The sequence below is a fragment of the Homo sapiens genome, chromosome 3 (assembly GCF_000001405.40).
Source record: "Homo sapiens chromosome 3, GRCh38.p14 Primary Assembly".
NCBI classification, from domain to species: Eukaryota; Metazoa; Chordata; class Mammalia; order Primates; family Hominidae; genus Homo; species Homo sapiens.
In genome coordinates, this window is record NC_000003.12 from 158,460,843 (window position 1) to 158,488,148 (window position 27,306).

At 34.2% G+C, this 27,306-nt stretch overlaps 1 protein-coding gene across 5 annotated transcripts in view; it reads left to right on the forward strand.

Annotated features, from left to right (window-relative positions):
• The window catches only part of RSRC1 (arginine and serine rich coiled-coil 1), a 435,642-nt gene that overhangs the window by 350,754 nt on the left and 57,582 nt on the right, over positions 1-27,306 (forward strand). For 4 of the 5 annotated variants that reach the window (NM_001271838.2, NM_016625.4, NM_001271834.2 and 1 more), the window contains one exon: positions 93-161. In NM_001271838.2, the coding sequence (NP_001258767.1) occupies positions 93-161 (69 nt within the window). Of the gene's footprint in view, positions 1-92; positions 2,942-27,306 lie in introns of those variants that run through there. The other variant, XM_047448273.1, reaches the window with a different exon arrangement.

Here is a 27,306-nt window from a genome sequence, read left to right on the forward strand (position 1 = left end):
ATAAGTAATGAATTTCTAGTCCCTTTAACCAATATTTTCACTTTGAATATAGGCATAAAATAAGTACAAAAATTGTATTGTTTTTGTTTCAGCAAAAGCTGATGAAGCATTGAAAGCCAAAGAAAGAAATGAGGAAGAAGCAAAGAGAAGAAAGGAGGAAGGTAAAGGCATGTGTTCATTTTTCTCTGAGAAATCACTATTTGGCTGTATTTCCTGAATAGACCGTAGAATATAATCTAATGCCTTAAGGGTTACTTCATGCTGTTTCATGAACCAAAACTATGACACAATAGCACACTATATTCATTGTCTTGGACACTAATGTTTGCTCTCATAAGATTAGTTTATAAGCATGCTATTATATATTCTGGGAAATTGGGAGGAGATAAGATTATATAGTAGTGCTGATGTTGGTTTGTTCCTTCTGACTTTTATAGTTAAAAAATTATCAAAATCAGTCACAGAAATAGATTGAACCTTATCCATAGATTTTGAAATATTTCAGTAGTGATGAAGAAAAGTCCTCTTGCCAATAAAACTTTTTTAAAGTTGAGAGAACATTGAAATTCAAAATGTCATAAATAGTCATATGAAATCCATGTCTTCATTTTTAAAGATATTCTTTTTAAAAAACAACATTTAGGCCATTCCCCCAAAATATTATCTAAACAAATCTAACACATTTTTATCTCCTCTAACAAATTTTTATTTTCCCCTTAATTTGCTATCTGTGATTTATGTGAGTGAAAATTTTGCCTTTTTTTCTTCACGGGGGATTATATACATATACTGTTCTAAATTACAGTGCTTAAAGCAAGATTCAGGCAAATCTTTCTCAGTGAGTTAAGTTGATGATCTGCTTAGAATGGCAATCATGTCACTTTATTGGCTAATTTCACAGGGTAGCTATTTCCTCTTGTGAGCTTTTGAGAAGTTGAAGTCTGATAATATGTGCCAGAATTTGGACTTTTGAGTGCTGTAGTCAAAATCTGAAAGTTGAAATTTTTGCCTTAGTAGGTACCTGTGTTTTATTGTAACAACCAGAAGATAATCTGAACTTCCCAGCAACTACATGGAAGCTGAGATTCAGTAAAACCCAAAGTATAATGGTTTAGAATGCTTAAAACCCATCAGAGCCATCCTCAAAACCAAGCGAAAAAAAAAAAAAAAACTGTAGATTTAAGTGGCAGATCCCTACAAATAAGTAGATTCAAACTAAATGTGGATGAATTTGTACACATATAGTATAGTGTTCTTACCTTACTTGACCCCCAAATATCCTGGCTTTATGCTCTTTTCCGGGATCAACTAATTTTATGGTATACTGAGAAAAAAATGAATTTCAGTAGCAAGATTCCTCAGTAGAATTACCTTCTTTTGGATCTCTTGGCATTGTTAATGAAAGCAAGCTATCTGATTTCAGTTATCCTTATAATGTGCCCATAGTACAAACAGACATAAGACTAAATGCAAATGTGTCTAAGCAAATTATAATTTTTAAGTACTGCTATGTTGTGTGGCATTCTGATCAATGTAACTAATTAATAACATAATGGCCCTTATAAAACTCTGTGGTACCGTAAATCACGTGTATAGTACTTATGACCAAGCAATACAGTGAAAATATGTTGTAGTGGTTATTAGCCTAATCCTATTAATTCAGATCTTAATTGGAATCTTAATCAGTTGAAAATGAATGGCAGTGAGAGTAATCACAGATATTGAAATTTCAAGGTGATTTGTTTTTATGAAAAAAATAATATGAATGCTTATCTTAGCAAAAGAAACTTTTTTAATACTTCAGAACTCCTCATTTACATGTTGACAGTTGATATTTCTACAGCTCTCTTGTTTTCATTAAATTAGCTCTAAGCATCTTTTAAGACATTTGCTTAAGAATTTCTTAAGTAACTATAGATACTTGAACATTATAATTCTTTGTAATTTTTAATTTAGACTTTTCACTAAATCACACTGACCTTATACGTAGTCTGCAATATACAGTACCTTTTTTCTTTCAGTTCCTGAGAATTGTTGAAAAAGCATATTCCTCCAATCATAGCTGTTTTAATTAGCATCTTTAAAAATCTAGCATTCTAACTAGAGTATAAACTACAGGATTACAGAGGACTTAATATCCACAATGCCTAACACATAGTAGAAACTCAGTTTCTTGAATTGTTGCATGATGAATGAATAAATCAATGACCAATTTCCCTTTATTCTTTTAAATTCATGCTAAGTAGCTTATTTTGAGCTTGCAACGGGATTCCAAATAATCTCATTGAAAGTATAACCCAACTTTGTTAAGGGCTTTTCTAAGACAGGCCGTAACTATTAAGCTATTGCTGTAATAATTTAGAGCATGCAAAATTAAACCAAAGAATGTCAAAATACTGTCAAAATTTGCTAAACTATTTGCTAGATTCTTTGTTGTTGTTTGCTTCCAAATTTTTTTTCTCTTGAGTTGTCTAGATACTTGAATGCTATCAAATTAACAGTTCCCTGAGAGTGATTAATGTATAAGCTACATTTATTTTATTTCATATAATTAGTCTAACTGCAAATTGAAACCTTAGATCAGTATGCATGTGTGTATATAGTTCTGTATCTGAAAGAATAAAAATCCTTTATTTTCAGTCTGTAAGCCACTAGTAATTCACTCTGTCACATCATTTATACAATTCATCTCTTAATTTCTCATCATGCTGATGTGCAATACAGAGTTGAAAGCATTGCGAAAATGTAGATAAATGTTGTCTACCCAGCTCCCTTTATCCACTCTCTGTTATCTCAGAAAAGCTATTGTATTAGCATAGCAAGATCTGTGCCATGCAAATTCATTCTATTATGCAGTCTTCCTTTGAGTGTTCTTAAATCAATAACATAATTATGTTTGCAAGTATTGCATCCAAAATAAAAGTCAGGCTGCACACCAAAACTGGTCCAGGATGACTACTTTGCCTTCCAGCCTTTAACCAATGGGGGCCCATTTAGAGTGCACTTCATGTCCTTATATAGTTCAGTTGATTTTTCCACTTAGTGAATATCGCTAGTACATTGGTGATAGGCGCTCACTCTTGAGCCACTAATTCTTTCCACTTTAGTTGTTATAGGAATGTTATATCTTTCAGTAAAGGTCAACTAAATATTTAAAGTTTAAGTTTACAGTGTCCCTTTTTTTCTAATTCTAGATTATAATTTAGGAAAACTGAATAGTATTAAATCTTTCAGTTCTGGTTTCTTTCTTATTCTTTGACTTAATAAATAATTGACTTACTCTTTTTCTCTGTATGTGTTTGAAAATGTTCTAACTATACTTTTAAAGTATATAATTAAAAAGCATTTAACTTCTATTTCTCTCTATTATTGAATGCATTAGCATAACTGCTTAGATTTTCTGTGTATTTTTATATTTAATTTGGTATGCATTTAAGGGTGCTAATTATGTTTTAAATCCATTGTAAGCATAGTAGTCTTTCTTTGCATTTGACTTCTCTCTAATATGAATTTCCTATTTGTGGTATAAGTATAGTAGCTTTTGAATTCTTTTTCCCCTTGTGTTTATTCAAAACAGCTCTACCCATCTGTTAGTTTTTTTACTTCAAATATTTTTTGTTTCCAAAAGTGTTAGGCAGCCCTTTCTAAATTATTCATGGGAATGGTGGACAGTGAAAATATGAACATAATAAAAGGCAGTTTAAGTAAAGACAGAGCAGTCCTCAAGTCTCATTTGTTTAAGTTTAAATTCATCAAATCTTGCCAGAGCTGATTGACAAGAAGTAAAATATATTAGCCTTAATTTTATTTTTCTTTTTTCTTTCTTAATAATCATTCAGTGAAGGTGAGGTAAAGAGTACTAGTAACTGAAAGGCAAGGTGGTTGCCAGACAATGTTCTAAGTATTCTACTTATTAACTGTCTTAATCATCATGAACTCTATACGGTTTGTGCTATTATCCCTGTACAACAGGGAGGATAGGAAACAAAGGCACAGTGCTTAATAGCTTGCTCTGTAGCTGATAAGTGGTGAAGCCAGGATACAAACCCGGGCAGTCAGACTCCAGTACACATTTCCCTCTTTAAATAGCCTGCATAAATCACAACCCTTAGAATCAGTGCTCAAAAATAATATAATTCTCTCTCTTATCCTTTGCCTTCCTCTCTGGAGCCTGCCCTCCAGCTCCTAGGAAGTTGCTTACTGTAAAGTTTTCCTGTCCTAACTTAGATCTAGATCCATACTAGGTTGCCTCACTTGAGTTTCTGGGACACCGAATAGGTGAGGTACTCCATTTAGAGGCACATTTTGTCAGGGTGTCTATGTCCTTTTTGCATAATCTCTATCTGCTTTTCCCCTACGGACTGCCTGGTCAATGTAAGATACTCATAGTGTGTCCTCCACACCTAGCCTTCAGAATCTGGACCAGAGCCAAACCTAAGCATCTAGTTTCTCAGGTTCCTTTCTCTGAGGTTTTGCCTGGCCCCGTGCTTTGTAGTTTCTAGCATAAAACACACTTAGCACCAAGTCTGAGCACACCCAGAGAGAGAACTGTTATAATCCCTTCTTTCCCTCCACTGTGGTTCATCACCTAAGACCCATAGACCCTAAGACCCTTTGTTCCTTCTGGATACCCTTTATAAGAAAGTAGGAGTGAAGTTGAAAGGAGAAGTTAGCAGGTACAAGGGCATCATTTAGGAATCACTATTTATTCAGTTTGCATGTAGATCCAAGTAGGTTAGGCAGAAGTAACGTGATTGTCCTTTCTAGCCCTCGTCCTGAATTGGCTACTCATTGTAATATGCAATATTATTTCTTTCTTACATTTACACATTTGAAAATCCCCCCTTCTTTATCTTACTTTATTAGGTGGTTCCATTGTAAGATTTAAAATGTCCCTTTAAGAAATTTGTGTTTCCTGTGTATCAGATTTAATAGTTCTATTAATATATCTGTCATAATTTTAAAATATTTCTATAGTTTTTTAACATATTAGCTCTAATGTTAGAGTACTGTTTTCTTTAAAAAGAAAATCTGCTTAGCCTGAATACATTGCTTCATTGCATATTTTTCCTCAAGTTCTTATTTAGTAAAGAAAAAAGAAAATTCACTCAAGAGAACTCAGTCATTTATCCTAGCCATCTGTCTTATTTCCCTCAGCAGTGATTTGTCCTTTGTAATACTCTTGATTATATGTCTGCAAGAACTTGATTGATAAATATTTTTAACCTTTCCCTTAGATTCAGTTTTTTCTATTCCATATTACATAGCATCAACCTGTTTCTCAGTTTCAGCGATTCCAGTAAATGTGTGTTAATTCATTTTTAACTTTTTAACCAAGCAAGGAATCCTTCCTTATTTTCGTAATAGCTAAGTCATACTATTTTTGCTTCATACACATTCAGCTATACTCTTTATGGAATTGGAAGCCAATTTAGATCGCATTTTACTTATTTTCAGTAAGATGTTTATGTACATGAAATGCAGATATACTGATATCTATTTAATCATCATTAGGCCTCCAGTGACTGGCTATCGTGTGTTTCCTTACTGATTTAAATATATTCTGTTTACTACAAACACAAATTTCAAGACCAACTCAAAGCTACAGGCTTTCTATTCAGTCAGATACTTGCAATATAAATTAAACATTAGGAAGCTGACATACATATTGAATGCCCACAGGTGTACAATCCTGAGAGTAACTTAGAGAAGCTAGTACAATCTAAGGAATCAATTGTGCTCTACTTGAAATAGCCCTAGCTAGCTTCCTTTGGCTGAAGTAACAGAATGAGGTTCAGAATCTCAGCTCTGCCATTTCCTAGCTCTGTGACCGAATAAATCACTTAACCTCTCTGCGACTCTAAAGTGGGGAACATGATAAAAGCTGCCTGGAATCATTATAATATGAAATGGCGATAGTATTTTAAAAGCACTTCAGGCCGGGCATGATGGCTCACATCTGTAATCCCAGCACTTTGGAAGGCCAAGGAAGGAGGGTTGCTTGAGCCCGGGAGTTCGAGACTAGCCTGGGCAATATAGTGAGACCCTGTCTCAAAAAGAAAAAAGATTAGTCAGGCATGGTAGTGGCCATCTGTAATCCCACCTACTCAGGAGGCTGAGGCAGGAGGATCACTTGAGCCCAGAAGTTCGAGGTTCCATTGAGCTGGATTAAGTCTCTTAAGAAAAGTCTCTCAAGTCCAGAGCTGCTCTCTAGTCTCTTAAGAAAAAAATACTTCATAACTAAATATAAACTATTGTTGTTACTCAGAATTGCAACACAAAAGAGTATGACGATTATTCTTTTATCTTTCATCCCTTTAGTGACTTTTATCAACTCAAAAAATATTTCCTGAATATTCACTACATCCAGGATACTGCTCTAAGCTGTATGAAAAATCAGTCAAAGAGAAAATCAAAGCCCATATACTCAAAGAGCTTACATTCTAGAGGATAAGGGGGAGACAGAAAATAAAATGAAAACAAATCATAAAATACACTAAATTCAAATAAGGGTTATTGTTTTCACATCCTGTGTGACCTTAGGTAGTCCCTTTGAACCAAGTTTCCCCATCTGTTAATAAGTATGATAATAATCTATCTACTATCTAAATATGTAGTTACATAGTGCGTATGAAACCATTTTATAGACTTTATAAAATATTAGTTACTGCTTTTGTTTGTCTGGTTTTTAGCACAATTTGGCATACTCACCATAGTATGCACCTTTAGGGATGCCGAAATGAAAGATATGGTTCTCTGTTGCTCTCAAAGAACTTACAGTCAATTTAGGAAAACATGGCAAATGAACCTGAAATGGTAGCAGAGTACATGATATAGTAATGTATAGTTATGGGCTAAATTGTTTAAGGTTACTAAATGAGACAGAGATTTACATTAAAGCAAGATGTATATTTTTTCTGTTTTCACTAGATTGACGTTATTGAAACTTCAGAAACTGTATTTTGTGTGTTTCTATCCAAGATGAGTATAAAATTTATTTTACTTGGCTAAGTTTTCTGTGTTCTTGTAGTAACAATTAAATACCAGCACAGAAGCAACTCCATTTGATCATATTATTACTATTACCTGTGAGGAAAAATTATTTTTTTGAGACGGAGTCTCGCTCTGTCGCCCAGGCTGGAGTGCAGTAGCACAATCTTGGCTCACTGCAAGCTCTGCCTCCTGGGTTCATGCCATTCTCCTGCCTCAGCCTCCCGAGTCGCTGGTACTACAGGTGCCTGCCACCATGCCCGGCTAATTTTTTGTATTTTTAGTACAGATGGGGTTTCACCTTGTTAGCCAGGTTGGTCTCGATCTCCTGACCTCATGATCCGCCTGCCTCGGCCTCCCAAAGTGCTGGGATTACAGGCGTGAGCCACCGCGCCCGGCCAGAAAAATTATTTTCTACAAATACATTTCATGATCTTTTTCAAGCTAGCTCTAAATAACTCAAGTATTAAAGCCTATACCACTTACCATAGGAGACACTTTTATTGAAAAATTTCTGTCATTAAACACAAGTTTTTATTTTCTCAATTTTAGCAGCATTATCTTGATTCTGTTATCCTGAGATGAAAACACTCCTTGGTGACTACACTCCTGCTTTCTCTCAAAATCGTTCGATTCAGATGTTATTTTTAAAGAAGTTTGGCACAGTGATTAAGAGTAATTATCTGCAGCCAAATTTCCCAGATTCAGTGCCATTTACTAGCTTTATATCCTTAACTCATGCCTCTGTTGCCTCCTCTATAAAATGAGGCTAATGAAAATATTTGCTCACTGGAGTGAATGTAAAGCACTTAGAATAATGCCTGACAGGTATTAGGTAATATTATTATATAAGTGTTTGTTCTAGTATACTTCAACTCTCTATAAAATTGTACCTGTTTTTACCTTCACAGCATCTTAATTTTAGTATAAAAGTATGAGATTCTCTTTCTTTCTTAGCATAAAAAAATGAATTGCCTACTGAAAAAATTTAACACCTTTACAAAATTAATTAAAAAGTTAATAAAATTAAATCACAAGGCTAAACAGTGGATAAAATTTTCACTAAGATTTATTCTGATAAGTTTGTATCCAAATAACAAGGAAAATATATAGACGAAGAATATAGTCGCAATCATTATTTGGTATATTACAACTTTCTTTTTTATTTTAAAAGTTTCTGTGACTCACTTCTTGTGTGTCCATTTCATTATATGAAGGAGAGAATATATCACACAAAAAACTTTGATTTTGTCCATCTGTTTACTCTGACAGGTATCACCCAACAGGTCTAGCTTCTTCTTAAGGCCAGTTCTTGATAATGATAGTAACATATCATCTATATGAGGGAAAATACTTGTCTCTTTACTAAGCCAGGAAGACCTACATCTAGTTGATCTAAAAACTACATTATGTTTTATAGTTAACTAGTTTAAAAGATGGCCAAGAATTATAATTTTATAATAGTTATTTAATTCAATCATCCTAAAGTCTACTACATCTTCTAATTTTAGAAATGCTACTAAAAGAGTGCCTTTAAAGGAAACTGTGCTGCAAAAATGATTCCCATGATGCATATATGATTCCTGTCTGTGGAATCAGAAGCTGAAGATGGATTAGTTAATACCATGCAAAGTCTTATACTATACTTCACCATAGTCTTTGCAAAATGAAACAGTATAGCAGAGATCAAATAGAATGGTTATAGCTAAAGCCTGTATAATATGTTTGAATGATCTACACTTATTGAGAAGAAAACTGATGTTGAGTTAAATAAGCTGGCAACACTGTCTACCTGTCAAGTTATCTTACATTTAATTTTTAGCAGAAATAGGAGATATATCTATTTACTAAAGATAAAAAACATACCAGTGTTCACATCAAGAGAACAAGTTGGTAAGTGCCTGAATCAGGCTCTGTTGATATAAAATGATGATGATGACTTAGCCGAAGTAAAACTATTCTGCCTTAATTACAGGACTAGCATTTGGAAATTCTAATTACCTATTAACGGAAAACAGGTGAAATTCAAGTATTCTTTGAAACTTATGTTAGCATTAGTAAGACTCAAGTCTTATTAATAACTTTAATGATGTCAGAATGTGTTCACTATAACAAATTATTAGCTCTATTAAAAGAAATTTGACCAAAACCCAGTTTGAGCGTGTGAATATTTATCACATTATCATACCTCATAATCTCTTTGCCCCTAAGATACATGGCTGTAACATATTCAGAGATCATTACTCTAAGGATACTAAATTACTGATTACATGCTAATATGTATTTTAAATAATGAAGCCAGGTGTGTAGTTTCTAAATAGAAGATTTTATCCCCAAAAAAGTTGTCTTTCCCAATACATATTGTTAGCATCACTGGCGGACTTATGAACTTTGATATTACTCTTAGAGGTTTAGAGTGGGTATCCAAGAAGAATTGTATTATTGAAAATTTTATGGAAAATTAGCCTTGTTTTTCTCTGCTCTTAGAAACACACACACACACACACACACACACACACACACACACACATATATATATATATATATAAAACCATCTTCAGTGTAATTGACCTTTTCTTGAAAGTGTATATAAGTTTATTTTAGTTTTCTGGGATTAAGTGGTATGCTATGTCCTTTATTTTCTAAAACCATGTTACAAGATGATGGTGGGGGGTGGGAATGGAGGATTAATACAACATATGTGATCAAAATGTTTTCTAAACTACAGTTGTTCCAGTATAATTTAGTTGGTGTAAAATTAAGAAATTGAATGGAGAATATAGTTCAAAGAAAATGGTTTATGTAAACCTTGATTGTTTGTGCAAATTTAATATGATTTGATAACTTACCACTGTTTTAAAATAGAGAAAGCTGAATTTATGTATATAAAACCATAATCTAATCAATTCTTAACATTTCCACCCTATTGTAAACTATTATAATTCAAGATGAACAGCAGGACCCAATCGAAATCATCTCCAACGCCAAGAAAAAAAAATTATTCTCTGTCATTCCCTATTAGACTGGGTACAGTGCATTAGACAATACATAGGGCAAGAGAGGTTGAGGTAGAACCAAAAGTTAGACTGTACTAGAAGAGATCCAAAGTTCAAGAAACTCACGCAACAAGAATCAGCATCCTAGGCTGGAAAACCAAGCACAGGCTAAGGTAGAGGATTTGGACAATGTTGGACTAGAGCCCAGGCTTTAAAAGTATGAGGCCATAGAGCAAGATTATACATCTGAAGAAGATGCATGAAATGCTGGCCCTAGCCCCAAGAGGCAATGTGTTACTGAGTCTTTTGCCTTCTGAGTCAAGGGCTCTTTTTGTACTTTCTCCTTAAGGCAGAACTAGTCCCAGGGTGTTGCCAGTGAAGACAAGTCTGCAGTATGATAAGTAGATTAGGATATAAACTGCAGGCAGAAACAGAGTGATTTGGATATCAACAACACTTCAGTAACATGGTGACTTTGGGTGAATCATTCAACTTCTAAGTCTTTATTTTTCCATCCGTGGAAGAATTTAAACATTAAATTAATATACATGAAGCCCTTATCACAGAGCCTAGTATATACTGAGCATTCAGTAGAAGTTAGCTATTGTTATTATAGCAAAAGCAACAGTAATGATGGTATACCACTGGCTAGAGAAGGAGAGATCAGGGTAATGGGATTCAGGCAGTTCCTTGCTCCCTCTTCAAAGTAACAGTATCTCACTGTGATTTCAGAGAAAATAATTCTGCTTGTGATAAAGAACATTAATTGATAAAAATACCTTTATAATTTTAAGTAACATACAACTCAGATGCCTACCATGTATTTCTGTATACTGATGGTGAATTCACAGAATTTGCTGTGAATATACAAGTTGGGATGACTCAGACTTTCCTAAGCTATAAACGACTTCTGCAGACTTATTGGGAATGGTAAGAAATTGTTGGAATGAGAGGAAAGGAAAGAATTTAGTCATCTTATTGAATCCTATCCAACCAACGTAGACATTATTGCTTGTGATTTGGATTAAGCCCAGCTGTAGTGCTTCTGATGCTGGCAGAGTAAACACCAAAGTCCTAAGTACACTAAGACATTTTAGGAAAATACCACATTATGGTTGTTTTTTGTGAAACGACAAAAAATACTTTATGTAAACAGAGAATAAGTCACTCTGCAAACAATTATTTAAAAAGCACTAAAATATAGATCACTAAAAAATAAAAACTTTATGTAACAGCAACATTCTAGGTACCTTAGTCATTTTTATTATATTTAATTATACCCAGCCCTTGTTCCTACCTACCATATATCAAGTTGGTTTTTAAATCCAAGTTGTTTTATAATTCCAAGATAAGGTTGTTTTTTATTCATTATCATTTTTGAGAACTTTGCAGGTCAGAAGTGCTACTGAACAACACCTACTTTGGGAATTGAAAATAATATCTTCTGTCTGTAAAATAACTTGAAATTGTGTTTTGTTAGAAAAAAGAAAATATTCTCACAGACTTTCAACTTCTAAAGCATCATGTTTTTTAAATACAAAACATACAAGAGGTATATTGTACTTTGCAGTCGAGTACACATATGCATATGTATACAAACCTGAAAAAAATACAAAATAATACTTGTCCATTTCCAAATTTTTTTCTGATCCTATTGCATCTTCAACAAAACAAAACAAAAGCAACCCACTAATGAGTCATAATGCTCAGTTGGAAAAACACTGCTCTGAAGTAGTTTTCTACTATGTTTTTTCCTTACCCAAATCACTCTCATACTGTAAATATAAAAGGATGACTGCATAAATGTCTTCTTTTGAGAAGTGTCTGTTCATATCCTTTGCCCACTTTTTGATGGGGTTGTTTGGTTTTTTTCTTGTAAATTTGTTTGAGTTCTTTGTAGATTCTGGGTATTAGTCCTTTGTCAGATGAGTAGATTGCAAAAATTTTCTCCCATTCTGTAGGTTGCCTGTTCACTCTGATGGTAGTTTCTTTTGCTGTGCAGAAGCTCTTTAGTTTAATTAGATCCCATTTGTCAATTTTGGTTTTTGTTACCATTGCTTTTGGTGTTTTAGACATGAAGTCCTTGCCCATGCATCACTGGCCATCAGAGAAATGCAAATCAAAACCACAATGAGATATCATCTCACACCAGTTAGAATGGCGATCATTAAAAAGTCAGGAAACAACAGGTGCTGGAGAGGATGTGGAGAAATGGGAACACTTTTACACTGTCGGTGGGACTGTAAACTAGTTCAACCATTGTGAAAGACAGTGTGGCGATTCCTCGTGGATCTAGAACTAGAAATACCATATGACCCAGCTATCCCATTACTGGGTATATACCCAAAGCATATAAATCATGCTGCTATAAAGACACATGCACACGTATGTTTATCGCGGCACTACTCACAATAGCAAAGACTTGGAACCAACCCAAATGTCCAACAATGATAGACTGGATAAAGAAAATGTGGCACATATACACCATGGAATACTATGCAGCCATAAAAAATGATGAGTTCATGTCCTTTGTAGGGACATGGATGAAGCTGGAAACCATCATTCTCAGCAAACTATCGCAAGGACAAAAAACCAAACACTGCATGTTCTTACTCATAGGTGGGAATTGAACAATGAGAACACTTGGACACAGGAAGGGGAACATCACACACCGGGGCCTGTTGTGGGGTGAGGGCAGGGGGGAGGGATAGCATTAGGAGATATACCTAATGTAAATGACGAGTTAATGGGTGCAGCACACCAACATGGCACATGTATACATATGTAACAAACCTGTACGTTGTGCACATGTACCCTAGAACTTAAAGTATAATTTAAAAAAAAAGGATGAGAAATGTCCTTTTTTCACCTATGATTATATTTAAACTGAAGATAGTAAATTACTTCACATGCCACTGGAGTTGTTTTAGGCAAGTTTTTAATGTCAATAAATATAGTAATATAAAATGAAGTTAAGCAATTCAAAATTAGAAGCAACTAGATTTCTTTAAATTGGCATTCTATGTGAACTCAATAAATACTTCTTAACTGATTATAGATCATTTCCTTACAAGTGACCGTGAGCTTCTAGAGGACATTAAGTATTCTTACTTAGGATATTATTATCTATTAAGTCTATAGTTAATGTAAATTTACAGGTTTTGTATGATATGTTGTATGTGTAGGTGATATATTTCTTCACAGCTTTGGTTGGAGTTTATTAAGCTAGGTCAGAAGTACCTTCCCTTGTAGCACTATTTTTCAACACAAATCACTAACCACTAATGGAATTCATGTTAATGTGAATTTGATAATGAAGCCAAATCTGGCTTCATGATGATTTAAAATACAGATACTTTGGAGACACTGGGTTTGATTCCAGACCATTCCGATAAAGCAAATATCTCAATAAGGCCAGTCACACTAATTTTTTTGTTTCCCGTAAAAGTTATGTTTACACTATACCATAATCTATTAAAAGTGTGCAATAGCATTATGTCTAAAAACCAATGTACATACCTTAGTTGAATACATACTTCATTGCTAAAAAATGCAAACGATCATCTGAGCCTTCAGCAAGTTGCAGTATTTTTGTTGGTGGAAGGTCTTTCCTCAGTGTTGATGGGTGCTCACTGATCAAGGTGGTGGTTGCTGAAGGCTAGAGTGGCTGTGGCCATTTTAAATAAGACAACAATGAAGTTTGCTGCATTGATTGACTCTTCCTATCATGAAAGACTTCTCTACAGCACATGATGCTGTTGGATAGCATTTTATTTATCGTAGAACTTCTTCTTTCAAAAGTTGGAGTCAATCCTTTCAGCCACTTTCTCTGCTCATCTGTAGGAAGCATTCATTCTAGTTTCAGGAAATTGTAGCCATTCAGTCATATCTTCAGGCTCCACTTCTAATTCTAGCCCTTCTCCTTTGCCTAGCTGATACCTACCAATCCTTCAGGTCTCACCTTAAATACTGTACCTACAGAGGAACTGAATTCTTATGTCATAGTTTGACCAAATCTCCCTGTGATGCTCTATTCTAGTACCTTATGCTGTCCTTTCATAGCACTTATCACAGTCGTTGTTTTGGAGGGGAGACGGGGGTGGTTGAGATAGGGTCTTGCTTAGTTGCCCAGCTGAAATATGGTGGTATGATCTCGGCTCATTGCAGCCTCAACCTCCCAGGCTCAAGACATCCTCCTGCTTCAGCCTCTAGAGTAGCTGGGACGACAGGCGAGCATCATCACACCTGGCTAATTTTTTTTATTTTTTATTTTTTTGTAGACATGAGGTCTCACTATGTTGCCCAGGCTGGTCTTGAACTTTTGGGCTCAAGCAATCCTCCCACCTCGAACTCCCAAAGTGCTGGGATTACAGGCATGAGCCACCATGCCCAGTACAATTGTTAATCATTCATTTTCTTCAACAAGTATTTATTGAGCCACCTCCTATATGCCAGGCATTGTTGTCATCCTGGGCCACAGTAGGAAACAAAACATGGAGTGCACATTCTAGTGGAAAGAGACAGATAATGAATAAACAAACAAGTAAATGCATACAGACATACCTTGTTTTATTGCACTTGGCAATAATGATTGCACTTTGACAATGTTTTTTTACAGATTGAAGGTTTGTAGCAACCCTGCATTGAACAAGTCTGTTGGTGCCATTTTCCCCAAAAGTATATGCTCATTTCATATCTCTTTGTCACATTTTGGTAATTCTCACAATATTTTAAACATGCTCATTATATCTGTCATTGTGATGACTGATCAGTGGTCTTGGATGTTACTGTAGTAGTTGATTTGGGGCATGATGAACTGCAACCATATAAGACAATGAACTTAATAAATAGGTAAGCGTTGTGTGTGTTCTGACTGCTCCACTGACTGGCTATTCCTCTCTCTCTCTCTCTCTCTCTCCCTGGCCTGGAGGCTCCCTATTCTCTGAAACACAATGTTGAAATTAGGCCAATTAATAACCTTACAGTGGCCTCTAAGTGTTCAAGTGAAAGGAAGAGTTGCATGTCCCTCACTTACATCAAAAGCCAGAAGTGACTAAGCTTAGTGAGGAAGGCATGTCAAAAGTCCAGAGAGGATGAAAGCTAGGCATCTTGTGCCAAACATTTAGACAAGTTGTGAATGCAAAGGAAAAGTTCTTGATTGAAAGTAAAGGGCTACTCCAGTGAACATATGAATGATAAGAAAACAAAACAGCCTTATTGCTGACAGGGAGAAAGTTGGAGTGGATAGAAGATCTAGATAGAAGATCAAACCAGCTACAACATTCCCTTACGTCAAAGCCAAATCCAGAGGAAGGTCCTAACTCCCTTCAATTCTATGAAGCTGAGAGAGGTGAGGAAGCTGCTGAAGAAAAATTTGAAGCTAGCAGAGCTTGATTTGTGAGGTTTAAGGAAAGTAGTAGTCTTCGTAACGTAAAAGTGCAAGATGAAGCAGCAAGTTATGTAAAAGATCTAGCTAAGATCACTGATGAAGGCAGCTATGCTAAACAACAGATTTTCAATGCGGAGCAAACAGCCTTCTATAGGAAGAAAATGCCATCTAGGATTGTCATAGGTAGAGAGGTGAAGTCAGTGTCTGATGTCAAAGCTTCGAAGAACAGGCTGACTCTTGTCAGGGGCTAATGCAGCTGGTGACTTTAAGTTTGAAGCCAGTGCTCATTTCCCATTCCAAAAATCCTAGGGTCCTTGTGAATTATGCTAAACCACCTGTGCCTGTCCTCTATAAATGGAACAACAAAGCCTGGATGACAACACATCTGTTTATAGCATGGTTTACAGAATATTTAAAGCCCACTGTTGAGGCATACTGCTCAGAAAAAAAGACTTCTTTCAAAATATTAATGCACATTGACATGTACAAGGAGAATAATGCCTGCTAACCCAGCATTTGTTCTCCAGCCCCTGGATAAAAGAACTAATTTCAACTTTTCAAGTCTTAATATTTAAGAAATATATTTTGTGGGGCTAGAGCTGCCATAAGCGGTGATTCCTCTGATGGATCTGGCCAAAGTAAATTGAAAACCTTCTGGAAAGGATTCATTGTTTTAGACGCCATTAAGAACATTTGTGATTTATAGGAGATCAGAATAGCAATATTAACAGGAATTTGGAAGAAGTTGCCTCCAACCCTCATGGATAACTTCGAGGGGCTCAAGACTTCAGTGGAGGAAGTAACAGCCTTTGTGTTGGAAATAGGAGAAAAACTAGAAGAGGAACCTGAAGATGTGACTGAGTGACTGCAGTTTCATGATTAAACATGAACAAATGAGTAGTTGCTTCTTATGGATGAGCAAAGAAAGTGGTTCCTTGAGATGGAATCTACTCCTGGTGAAGACAGTGTGAACACTGGAAATTACAACAAAGGCTGTGGAGCATTACATAAACTTAGTTGATAAAGCAGTGGCAGGGTTTAAGATTGACTCCAATTTTTGAAAGCAGAAGTTCTACAATAAATAAAATGCTATCCAACAGCATCACATGCTATAGAGAACTCTTTCATGACAGAAAAATCAGTTGATGCAGCAAGCTTCATTGTTGTCTTATTTAAAATGGCCATAGCCACACTAGCCTTCAGTGACCACCACCTTGATCAGTGAGCAGCCATCACCACTGAGGCAAGACCCTCCACCAGCAAAAAGATTATGACTTGTTAAAGGCTCAGATGATCATTTGCATTTTTAGCAATAAAGTATGTTTTAAATTAAGGCATGTACAGTGTTTTTTAGATGTAACACTATTGCACACTTAATAGACTATAGTGTAGTGTAAACATAACTTTTATATGCACTAGGGAAGAGTAAATGTTACTGGGTCTATTGCAGTACTTGCTTTAGTGTGATGTTCTGGAACCAAACCAAGAATATCTCCAAAGCATGCCTGTAATGTATGAAATGATGACAGGTCACAAGGAGAACCGTGGAGCATGGTGATGGGATAGGTTGCGGGAGGGATTTATATATATATATATATATATATATATATGAAAGCCCTATGATAATATAACCTTTGAGCAAAGTCGAAGTAAGAATATGAACACCTTTCAAAGTTAATACTTTCCTGTTTTCTTTTTTTTAACAAGTTGCATTCTTGCACATCTATATTCTTAAAATTCAAATTGTTTGATGTTGTATCTGCTTGATAATTCTTCAAAATAATAGAGCTATGATCTCAGCACTGTACTTCAGCCTAGACGACAGAGTGAAACCCCCATCTCTAAATATTAAAAATAATAAAAAATAAAATGCAAATATTATAATATCTTGCAAACCAGCATTAGTGAATTTGGATTATATAGGATCTTATCACTCCTACCACTTTGATATTTTTTAAGTTAGTATTTTCACTAGACTATCACAATCATTTTACACTGTTAGACCTAGGTTTTGGGGTTTTTTTTTCTTTTTGTTTGTTTTTTAATTCTTAAAGGATGTTGGACTTTTTGAAATATTTTTTTCTATGTCTTGTTGAGATGATCATGTGGGTTTTGTCTTTATCTAACCTACATCTATAAACATTTAAAATAATGGTGATTTATTTGTAGAGATAGTAGAGAGTAAAACAAGCCTAATTTATTATACTAAAACTAGATAAATTAAACTCTCAGACATAATGAATTGAGACTGTCTTAAATAAACATCAAGCAAAAATGGAATTCTGACTATTATTCCTCTCCCCCCAAATTAAGTTATAGTTTTGTTTCAACATCCATCTTTAGTATCAGTGTAGAGCCATGTCATGAGTTATTGTTTATTTGTAACACCAGCCTTGTCTATCCACAATAGGATATCACTTTTATAACCTCCCCCTCCCTTCACTCCAATTATTTCTTTTTCAGCAGTAACTTAAACTAATAAGGTCAAACTTGGAACATTTTCTAAAGAGGCCAGGAAAACCTAGTTAGTAGAAATGATTGTGAATCAGAAGTCTGGTCAGTTTCATCCCAGAAATTCTATATTTTCTTTTCAATATATTTGAAGTCCTCAGTAATAGTTTATCAGTCAGGTGTTTACTAAAAGAAATATATCTAGGGAAAAGAGTTGAGAGTACTATTGTATTCATTAATATATAGAAGGTTATTAACTAAAGATACAAGGAGAAAAAGCAAAAAAAAAAAAAAAAACCTTACTGACAAAAATAAAATAGAGATGTAGGGAAGATGTCAACATCATATGGCATTTTATTGTTGTGGATTAATTTTTGTATGTGTATTTTTGGAATTTACCAGTGATGATAGATTTTTTAAATCAATTGGAATAATGAGAGCATACCAAATAAATAAAATATGTTACTGCCTTGTGGACACAGTGATCAGAATATCTTTGAGGATTCTGATATCTTGAGTATGCTTTTAATATCTTGATTATGCTTTTAAATATAGTATTATTTTTAAAATGTTTTTAAAATAATTAAATATAATATAAAATATAAATTAATAAAATAATACAAAATAATATATGGATATATGGATTCCCAGAACAAAAGAATCAGGATAAGCCCAATGATTGTTATTCAGCCTGCCAACACCAACCCATAGATTGGAATTTGCGAACCACTGCCCTATTCCATTCATTTTGTAGCTAATAACGTGAGATAGTATATTTTTTCCAAATGAGTTTGGTTTAACATATCCAAGTTATTGTTGTCTCTTTCAGTGGAGTCAGTTTTCAAGACATCCAATAAACTATAGCACCACCCAATTTTGGTTTTGGTTTTACTTTACTAAAAACCATTTAACCAAGCTTGATACCCCTCCTTGTTCACCAGATATGACTCCAAATGCCTACAGAAATACTGACCTTACTCGGAATAGTTACTTTCAATATTTGATGATAATATTTTTCCACTAATGATGTCACTACACTAAACTAACAAGGCATTTTTGTAATAAATAGCACAGATTTGTTTGAGCAGTCATGTTTGTGATATTGCCTGTAGGTATTAAATGGCTAATTTAACTGATCCATCATACCCTTAACATTGGCCTAATTACTAACAGATTTTGAGGCAATAGATATCAAATACTATTCCAGAAATCTTGATTACACTTCATTTTCTCTTTATTTTAAAAAGTACAGATTTTGCTCTCAAGCTTTCAGTATTTTTATTGAGAAAATGTTTTCCTTAGCAAAAGTCAAGAGTAACCATTTAGCACACCCTCAAGTCTGTCTTTCACATGCATTTGTTGGAGGGTTCACCTTTGGAACCAGGCAGACTTCCCACAGCATAGAAAACTACATGGGGATGAAAGGAATCAAGGTCATACAAATAGGAAATGAGGTTTTATTCCCCTTAAAAATTAAAGTTTTCCATCTGTTAGTATATTTGGATATAGTAAAATTCTAGCTGTAGTTTAAAGAAATCTGTGCTATTTTAGAAGTTTTAGAAGCAATTATTATGGAAGAATAGTGATATATCAAATTAATACAAATTATTTTGGATTTTTTTAAAAAGAATAAGAAGCCCTAAAGTTCAGAAGCTCAACTAAGTGTATGTTTTTAAAGTTTTATTCTTTTTTCAGTTATTTAGTCTTTAATCATTTAATTAATCTATAATTTATTTAAAGTCAAAAAGACATTTCACAGATCTTTCATATATTGAAAAGCCGTATTTGAAGGAAAACTTTTTACTTTTGGTTAGAAAGTGCTCTGAATGCGAAATTTGGTTTTTTCTAATTTTTATATTATAGTCTCTTAGATGGAAATTAGGTAAATTATAAACATCATGGCCCGCATATCAGTAACTGACATTTGGACATACCTGCAGTGTACTGAAACCATATTCAGTTGTGCATGTTATATGAACTTGTCTATAATTTATTTTACCTTGAAAGTGACTATCACACATGAAGAATACTACCATAATTTCTCTTCCCCTGCAAAATAAACAAAAACTTTGTGCATTTTTCTAAACTCTCTTAGGTTATATTTATATTTGTGACTGATTACAGAGCATCACTGGCATGTCTTTAAATGTATTGTTTAATTCATTATCATAAAGTACTATCCAGAATATTCACTATTCTTATGTGAATATGCAATCACAGGTATATTCACGTAAGAACCACATGAATTTCTCTGGGGAAAGGGAATAGTGACTCTTGATACTGCTCATCTGAATCTAATTCAACAGAATTAAGATTTTCAAACAAGAACATGAAAGGAAGGACAAGCCTGAGCTTTCAGAAATGACCTGCAGAAGAAGCAGAAAACCACCTTGCTATGTGAGGAAGGAGGGGCTTGAGCTTTATTCTGGTGGGCTGATTTGTGGGCCGCTAGGAAGTAGTGTCGTTTATATTGTCATGTGACTCAGCCCCAGAAACCAATTTCCTTAATTGGCATAGATTGTTCTTTATTCAACTTACACCTAAGTCATGTTACGTATTAAATAAAGCCTTATTATTGGTGCCCATCACTTCCTAATCCCCATCAAGCTAGAGTCAGTGATCCTGCTCTGTGCATCCAGGTTACCCTGTACTGTTCTGTTCGCATAGCTAAACCCTAACCACAGATCATAGGCAATCACTGAATAAACTTTGTGATTTTTTTAGTGTTCTCTTATCTGAAAAATTGGGAAATTGAGTCACAAATTGGTTATTTACACAAATCACACAAGAGAACAGAAACTATATCACATAACTGGGAAATTACTGTGAGTTTGGAATTCAGTTTGGTCAACAGCATTGAAACTTTTTGGAATTCAGTTTGGTCAACAGCATTGAAATTTTATTTTTTAATCATATCAGCTGAATTAAGTTACTAGTTCCTGAAAGAGGTAGAGCACAGCAGCTCACAGACTGGCTGTGTCACAAACTGAAAGAGGACAGGAATCAAGCAAAAGAAAGTAATTTAAAAACCTAATTGAGGTTATTTTAAATGTGAATTTGTATACAAACAAATGTTGAAAGCTTCTTGAAGATACTTACAGTGTACTGCTTTTCTTTCTATACTCTTATTCCATTTTCTATTTGGATGAACTCCTCTGCTTTTTGTCATTTAAATGATAATAATGTGGGCTCTACTAGAATGTGAGCTGCTAAAGAGCAGAAACCATTTCTGTATGTAGACTTTGGTTTGCCCAGCACCTAGCACAGAGTGATTTGTGTAATAATTAGAAAATGAAAGATTATGATTCCGTAAGGAATCCTAAAAACTCAGAGTAAAGAGTTCATTTTGAAAATGCAGAATTTGATTCTTTTAATCTAGAAAGGCAGTTTAATAAAGTCATTAAACTGATTTATTGTTTGAATGTACTTGTCTTTGTTTTTCCCTCAATAAAAATAGTTTTATTGAAATTATTAAATTCTTTTTAATAGTGAATTAACAAATTAGTTTGATAAAATTCACATTTACAAAGAGAAAGCTACCACTCAGCAGAAGAAAAAACAGATAAATTAATAGCATTGCTGAGGGTCTTATCCAAAAAATAAATTAATACCAAATTGAAAATTATAAAATCAAAATGTATTTGCATTTATGCATATTTTAATATGATTATGTTCAGTAATCTCTTTTGCCTGCGTAACATAAATCTTAATCCAGCAAATATTCTTCAACTTTTAGTTTTCACTTTAATTATTATTACTTCACTTTAAGAAGCAATCAGTTCCCCTAAAACAGCCCTTGGATTTTTCAACAGATGGAAGTTTATCTTAGATCAAAACAAAGCTTCTGTTTCATTGTAGTCCTGCCTAAAGGCAGGAGAATGGACAAGAAGACTTCTTAAAGTCCCCTCCATCCCTTTGTTTTATTTGTAATCTCACTGCTCTTTAGTGAGATAAAATAGATGGAACCTCCAGTGCCATAAAAGAAAATAGAAATCACGTCATCCTCAACTATCATACTCTGTAAGTTATTTTTACCTTTGTTATTGAAAAGGTAGGCCTTAGAAGTATAGTAAACAATCTAATACTTAAAGTTATTATTTCCCAACCCATGAAAAAATGTTTTTATTTCTCTACTTTATAGTTATGGTGTCCCTACATTATTTTTATTGTAATTGTATTGCCAAATCAGATATGAGATTAGATGTTGGATGTTACATGTAATCTGCACAGAAATCAAATTATTTAACCTCTAAGCCCACAATACCCCCTCCTGCTGGTTTGCTGTTAAATATTCAGTATTTTCTTGTCATGAATACAAATGGAGGACAAATTAGAATCTACAGACAGCTGACCTGAGCTTCAGATTAGAGACTGGGGGGCTTGTGCTATTTTAAATGTTTTAATTATCATACTCCCAGTAGCCATTTGAAGGACACACATAAAATCATTTTCAACAAAAGAAAAAGAAAAAGCTCATCCTCCTTCTTCCTCTTAATATGAATGTTTGACTGTGATTACATTTGCACTTCCATTGGACCTATGCTAATTTACTGCATTAAATTAGGTCTATTAGTGGTAGTAATTTTTTAAACACTAAACATTCTCAGTAATATTTTCAGTTGGTGTGTTTGCCTTGTTGCAAGGATGATTTGTATTTCTCATCTTATTTCATAGACAGTAGATCTTCGGTGTTTAAGTATAAAGCAGATACTTTATTTAAACAACAGATCTGGTAATTCCCATTGAATATGGTAAAAATATATGGGAATAATGGACTAATTTAGATGTGATAACATGTATTTGCATTAGCAAAGAATAGAGAACCCATGTGAAATGAGCTGAAAAGATCATTCTGGGAATGAAAAATATTTAATGTGTGACAGTCTGAGATTTGTCTTTAAATATTGATGCTTACTTGAAAACTTTCACAATTTAAAGGGGTTACAGATTACAGTGTTGTATTCATTGATTAAATAAAAATGTTTATAGGTATTTATAGAGCAAGGAAATAAATGTAATCTTTAAAAAGACAAATTTAAGTTTGTTCATTTAAAAAGTAAGTTTATATTAATTTTATTCTCAAGAATATATTATTCTGGTGCCTACAGTCTTGAATTTGCATTTTTTTGTTTCTTTTATATATTGGTATAATGTTGATTTGATTAGTTACGCCTGACTAGTAAGCAGTGAAACATTTTTATATACTCTTGGGAAATAAATTTGGCAGAAAAGCAGCATGAGTAGATTTAATTATCACTCTGAGACCTTTTCCTTTTCTAGCTTAGTGATCCTGAAACTCCATGTGTCTCACTGAAATCTGTGCGGACGCTAAGCTTCGCTTCCCAATTTGTTCCTCCATGCAGTGATAAGCCAAGCAATTACTGGTTTATTGATTTTTCATCATGGCAAATTTAAAGTTGATTTTTTCCTGAAAAGGCAGGGGTGATTAAGTGTTTCCCCTCGGTTTAGTACAAGAGAGCTATGTGGCAGAATCTAATATCCTGAGGTCAACCTCTGCAGGCAGATAATACGGTGTCTTGGCCACGTGTTAAAGAGAGAAATCAGGGCTACAAATGTGATAGGATATATGTGGAGACAGTTTAATTTGCTCCATTTATATGAACAAGTCATGTGGCACATGCTTGGAAAACATCATTTTGAATGGACTTAGAAGTGAAGCCCATGTGGGCAGAAAGAATAAATGAGTACAAACAAGAAAGATGTTATGGGTTATTAAGGGAATTTCACTATCATTTTTAAATGAAAATAAGTAAACCGTTGGCATATAGGATGTTCAAAACATGGAGTGAAATCCCCATATTACCATTGTGAGGATTTGCTGGTCTGTAAAGTGCAAAAATAACCTGTCTTGTAAGAAAATTATGATTAAGTTAGGCATACTAGTTTTAAATATATGTATACATTCTAATATTTGCATGCAGTTCTCTGGCAGCAGTATATTTTTGTGCTTTTGAAAGGTAGAAATTTGTAAATCAAATATTCAATGCATGATTCCAAAGTAGTTTATGACTCAAACAATTTTTGGAAATGATATTTCCTAGAAGTTACTAATTATAAATAAGAGTATACATAAAGAGAGACCTAATTGTGGTGAACTTTAAACCTAAAAATGGTGAGAAAGCTCATCTATAACTCAACTGAATACTTACTGTAATTCTTCAGTAAAATGAAATGGTTCTAGTTTTAGCTTTTCCAGTTATAGCAGGAAAATATGTTTGCTAGAACATAAAATATAAGATGCAGATTCTCTACATGCTAGTTTTTGTTTGTCTATTATATGAAAGCTAAATATTTAACAAAATGTTTAACAAATCTAACCTGGTCCTAAATCTATAGAGCCCATTTTCCAACTAGTTTTGTCATTTTTCATTATGGTTCCTCAATATTTACTCATTAGCAGTTTACATTATTCTTCCTTTATCATTATGATTCCAGAAAGATTCTAATTATTTTCTCCTGGTAACCTAAGAATGAAGATTGTAGGCTGTTTTATGTATCTTGTTTACTAAAAAGTCCACTTGGATGTGTCATAATTACCTGAAGTTAATTGTATGTTGTATTTTTGGTGAATCACTGAAATTATTCCATTGTTTTAATATTAAAATATTTTTATTTCTAAAATAAGATAAACATTGGAATCCCTTGGAAACCATGGTGCTAAAAGCAAATATTTTATTATATACACAAAACCAAGCTTACTTTAATATATCTTTTAAAATCTAACACAAAGGATATAAAATGAATATATTAAGATAATTCATAGCATCTATTATCTCACTAGCACCAAGGCAATGTATAACACCACGGTTCTGCCTCTGATTAAGTCTTTTCCTGTGAATTAAAACCCATGTGGCTAGATTGCACTTGACATTCAGGAATCTCTCTCCCACTTAGTTTATCAGTATTTGAGCTCGAAGTTTTGTGGTTTTTATTTTTTCCTACATATGACACTGACTGTCTTACTACTTTTTTAACATTGGTGAATCTGCTATCTCAAAGTTACATTTAGAAAGATATGTGAATTATTTTTAGTTGTGTAATAACTTTACATGAGTATATTATTTTCCAATACAGGTTGACTTCAATAAATTAGATAACTGTGATTTTCACTGACTTCCAGTTTTCGTTTAGACATTTTCCTCTAAAACAATAAAAATTACAGAAAATTTTCTAACTTTAATTAAAAAGAATTTTCTACCTGGCTTGATGTGAAGTCATATGCGTATAAAAGATTCATATAGTATTTAAAATAATTTAGTTCGGCATGATTTTTAAAGGCTTACCTGTAAATATGAAAGAAAAAATCATAACGTTCATTCAAAAGTGCTTGCTTGACTATTTAACAGCCATACAGATTATCATTTCTCTAAGTATTTAGCAATACTCTACCACATCCTCATCCCTTTTTTAGAACCATTACAGATATTTTCAGACTAAGAAAATGCAAATATATTGTATTACTCTTTTAAATGTTCATTCCTCTCCCAGTCTACAAGTGTTAGTTGATCTAATGACTAATTGATAAATCACATTCTAATGTCCCTTACCTGACTTCTAGTGTTGACTGAGCAGCATTGACCTCTTACAGTTAATGGTTGTTCAAAGGGAGAGGTCATTATGGAAACTGGATCACTGCCTTGCTATTTCATTCACATCCTTCTGTTGGCAAAATCCCCTATCTCTTCCAGGCACCATGTTAAATGCTAGGGCTGTGAAGATAAATTAGGCAAGCTTCTTGTTCTAAAAAAGTTTGCAGCCTATTGAGGGGGAGGGGGAGGAATATGTCATGTGCATAAACATGTATAAAACAAAGTAGAAATAAGCTCCAGTAAAGAAATGCTGGTAGACTGCTTGTGAGAAGGGAGAGATTACTTGCAGCTGAGAGAATTGGGGAATGCCTTGAGGAAATTGCTTACATTTTTCAAATCTGTCAGTATGAACAAGCTTGGAGTAAACATATAGGTGGTGGGGGAGGTGGGAGAACATTTTTTAAGTTTATATTAAATGCCTTTACCAGTGCTAGAACCAAAACTTAGGTTACCTAATTTTAGCTCCACAACAACCCTGTGAATTATGTATTATTCTTATTTTATAAATAAAGAAACTGGACAAGTTAAGTGACTTCCTCAAGGTCCTACAGCTAATAAATAGTAGAGATTGCACTGGAAAATTATTTTCCTAGCATTATACTCAGAGCTCTTTTTACTGTGTTACAACCAACTAGTGTAGCCCACACAGCAACTGGATCTGGATCTTCCACCGCAGCATGTAACTATACCAGTTACATGTTTCCCAAACCTGGCAAACATCAGAATCACTTGAGAGTTGTTTTTAAAATATCTCGATTGCAAACACCTTATATTTTTCCTAATTTTGAGGAGTCAGCCCAAGAACCTGTGTATGTTCTTAAAGTTTCTCAGCTGATTCTTATTTTCATTCAATACTGTTGCACAGATAAGCACTTGGAAACAACTGCTTTAAGCAGTAGAGCTAACCAATTACAAACATGATTTACCACATACTACAAGAATGAATATGTAGTCATGTACCTATATTGAATCACATTCTTTTTTAACCAGTAACTGATTTAAATATTCAATTTATAATTTGGAAGTGCCATGATTTCCGATCAGAATATTTCTGGATCTCTGAAAAATAGCAAACTATACTTCTTTGATACCATGACACACTTTTTATTTTTCACGTGTTTTAACATCTCTGAAATCAAGATGCATCTTACAATTAACGTCATCTTAAAATCACTGTTCGCCGGATAGCAGCTGTGACTCTTGATGTTATTGTCTATTTGATGAACTTGGTTGTTATTCCTGGCCACATGAAAGGTCAACTAAGTCCTCAACTGGCTATCAGGAAAACATTTAAAGATCACTTGAGGAAGGAATATTATCCCTGAGTTGTGATCCGAAAACCTTCACTGGCACCTTCTGATGAAGTCAAAAAAGTGCCTGAATAAAAAACTGGCCAGGCAGTGGCTCATACCTGTCATCCCAGCACTTTGGGAGGCTGAGGTGGGCGGATCACCTGAGGTCAGGAGTTCAAGACCAGCCTGGCCAACATGGTGAAACCCCATCTCTACTAAAAATACAAAAATTAGCCGGACATGGTGGTGGGTCCCTGTAATCCCAGCTACTCAGGAGGCTGAGGTGGGAGAATTGCTTGAACCCGGGAGGTGGAGATGGCAGTGAGCTGAGACCACGCCATTGCACTCCAGCCTAGGAGACAAGAGACTCCATCTCAAGAAAAAAAAAAAAAAAAAAAAAAAAACTGGCTGAATGGGTTTCAGTAACTTGGAAGAAAACCCAAGAGACAATAATGGAACACTCTGTTAAGAAAGACTGCCACACAAATATTCTTGATGGCAAAGAGATTATTGTGCACAAAAACGTGGACACTGACAACCTTAAGTGGCAGTCACAAGAGTGATCTTCCAAAAGTGAA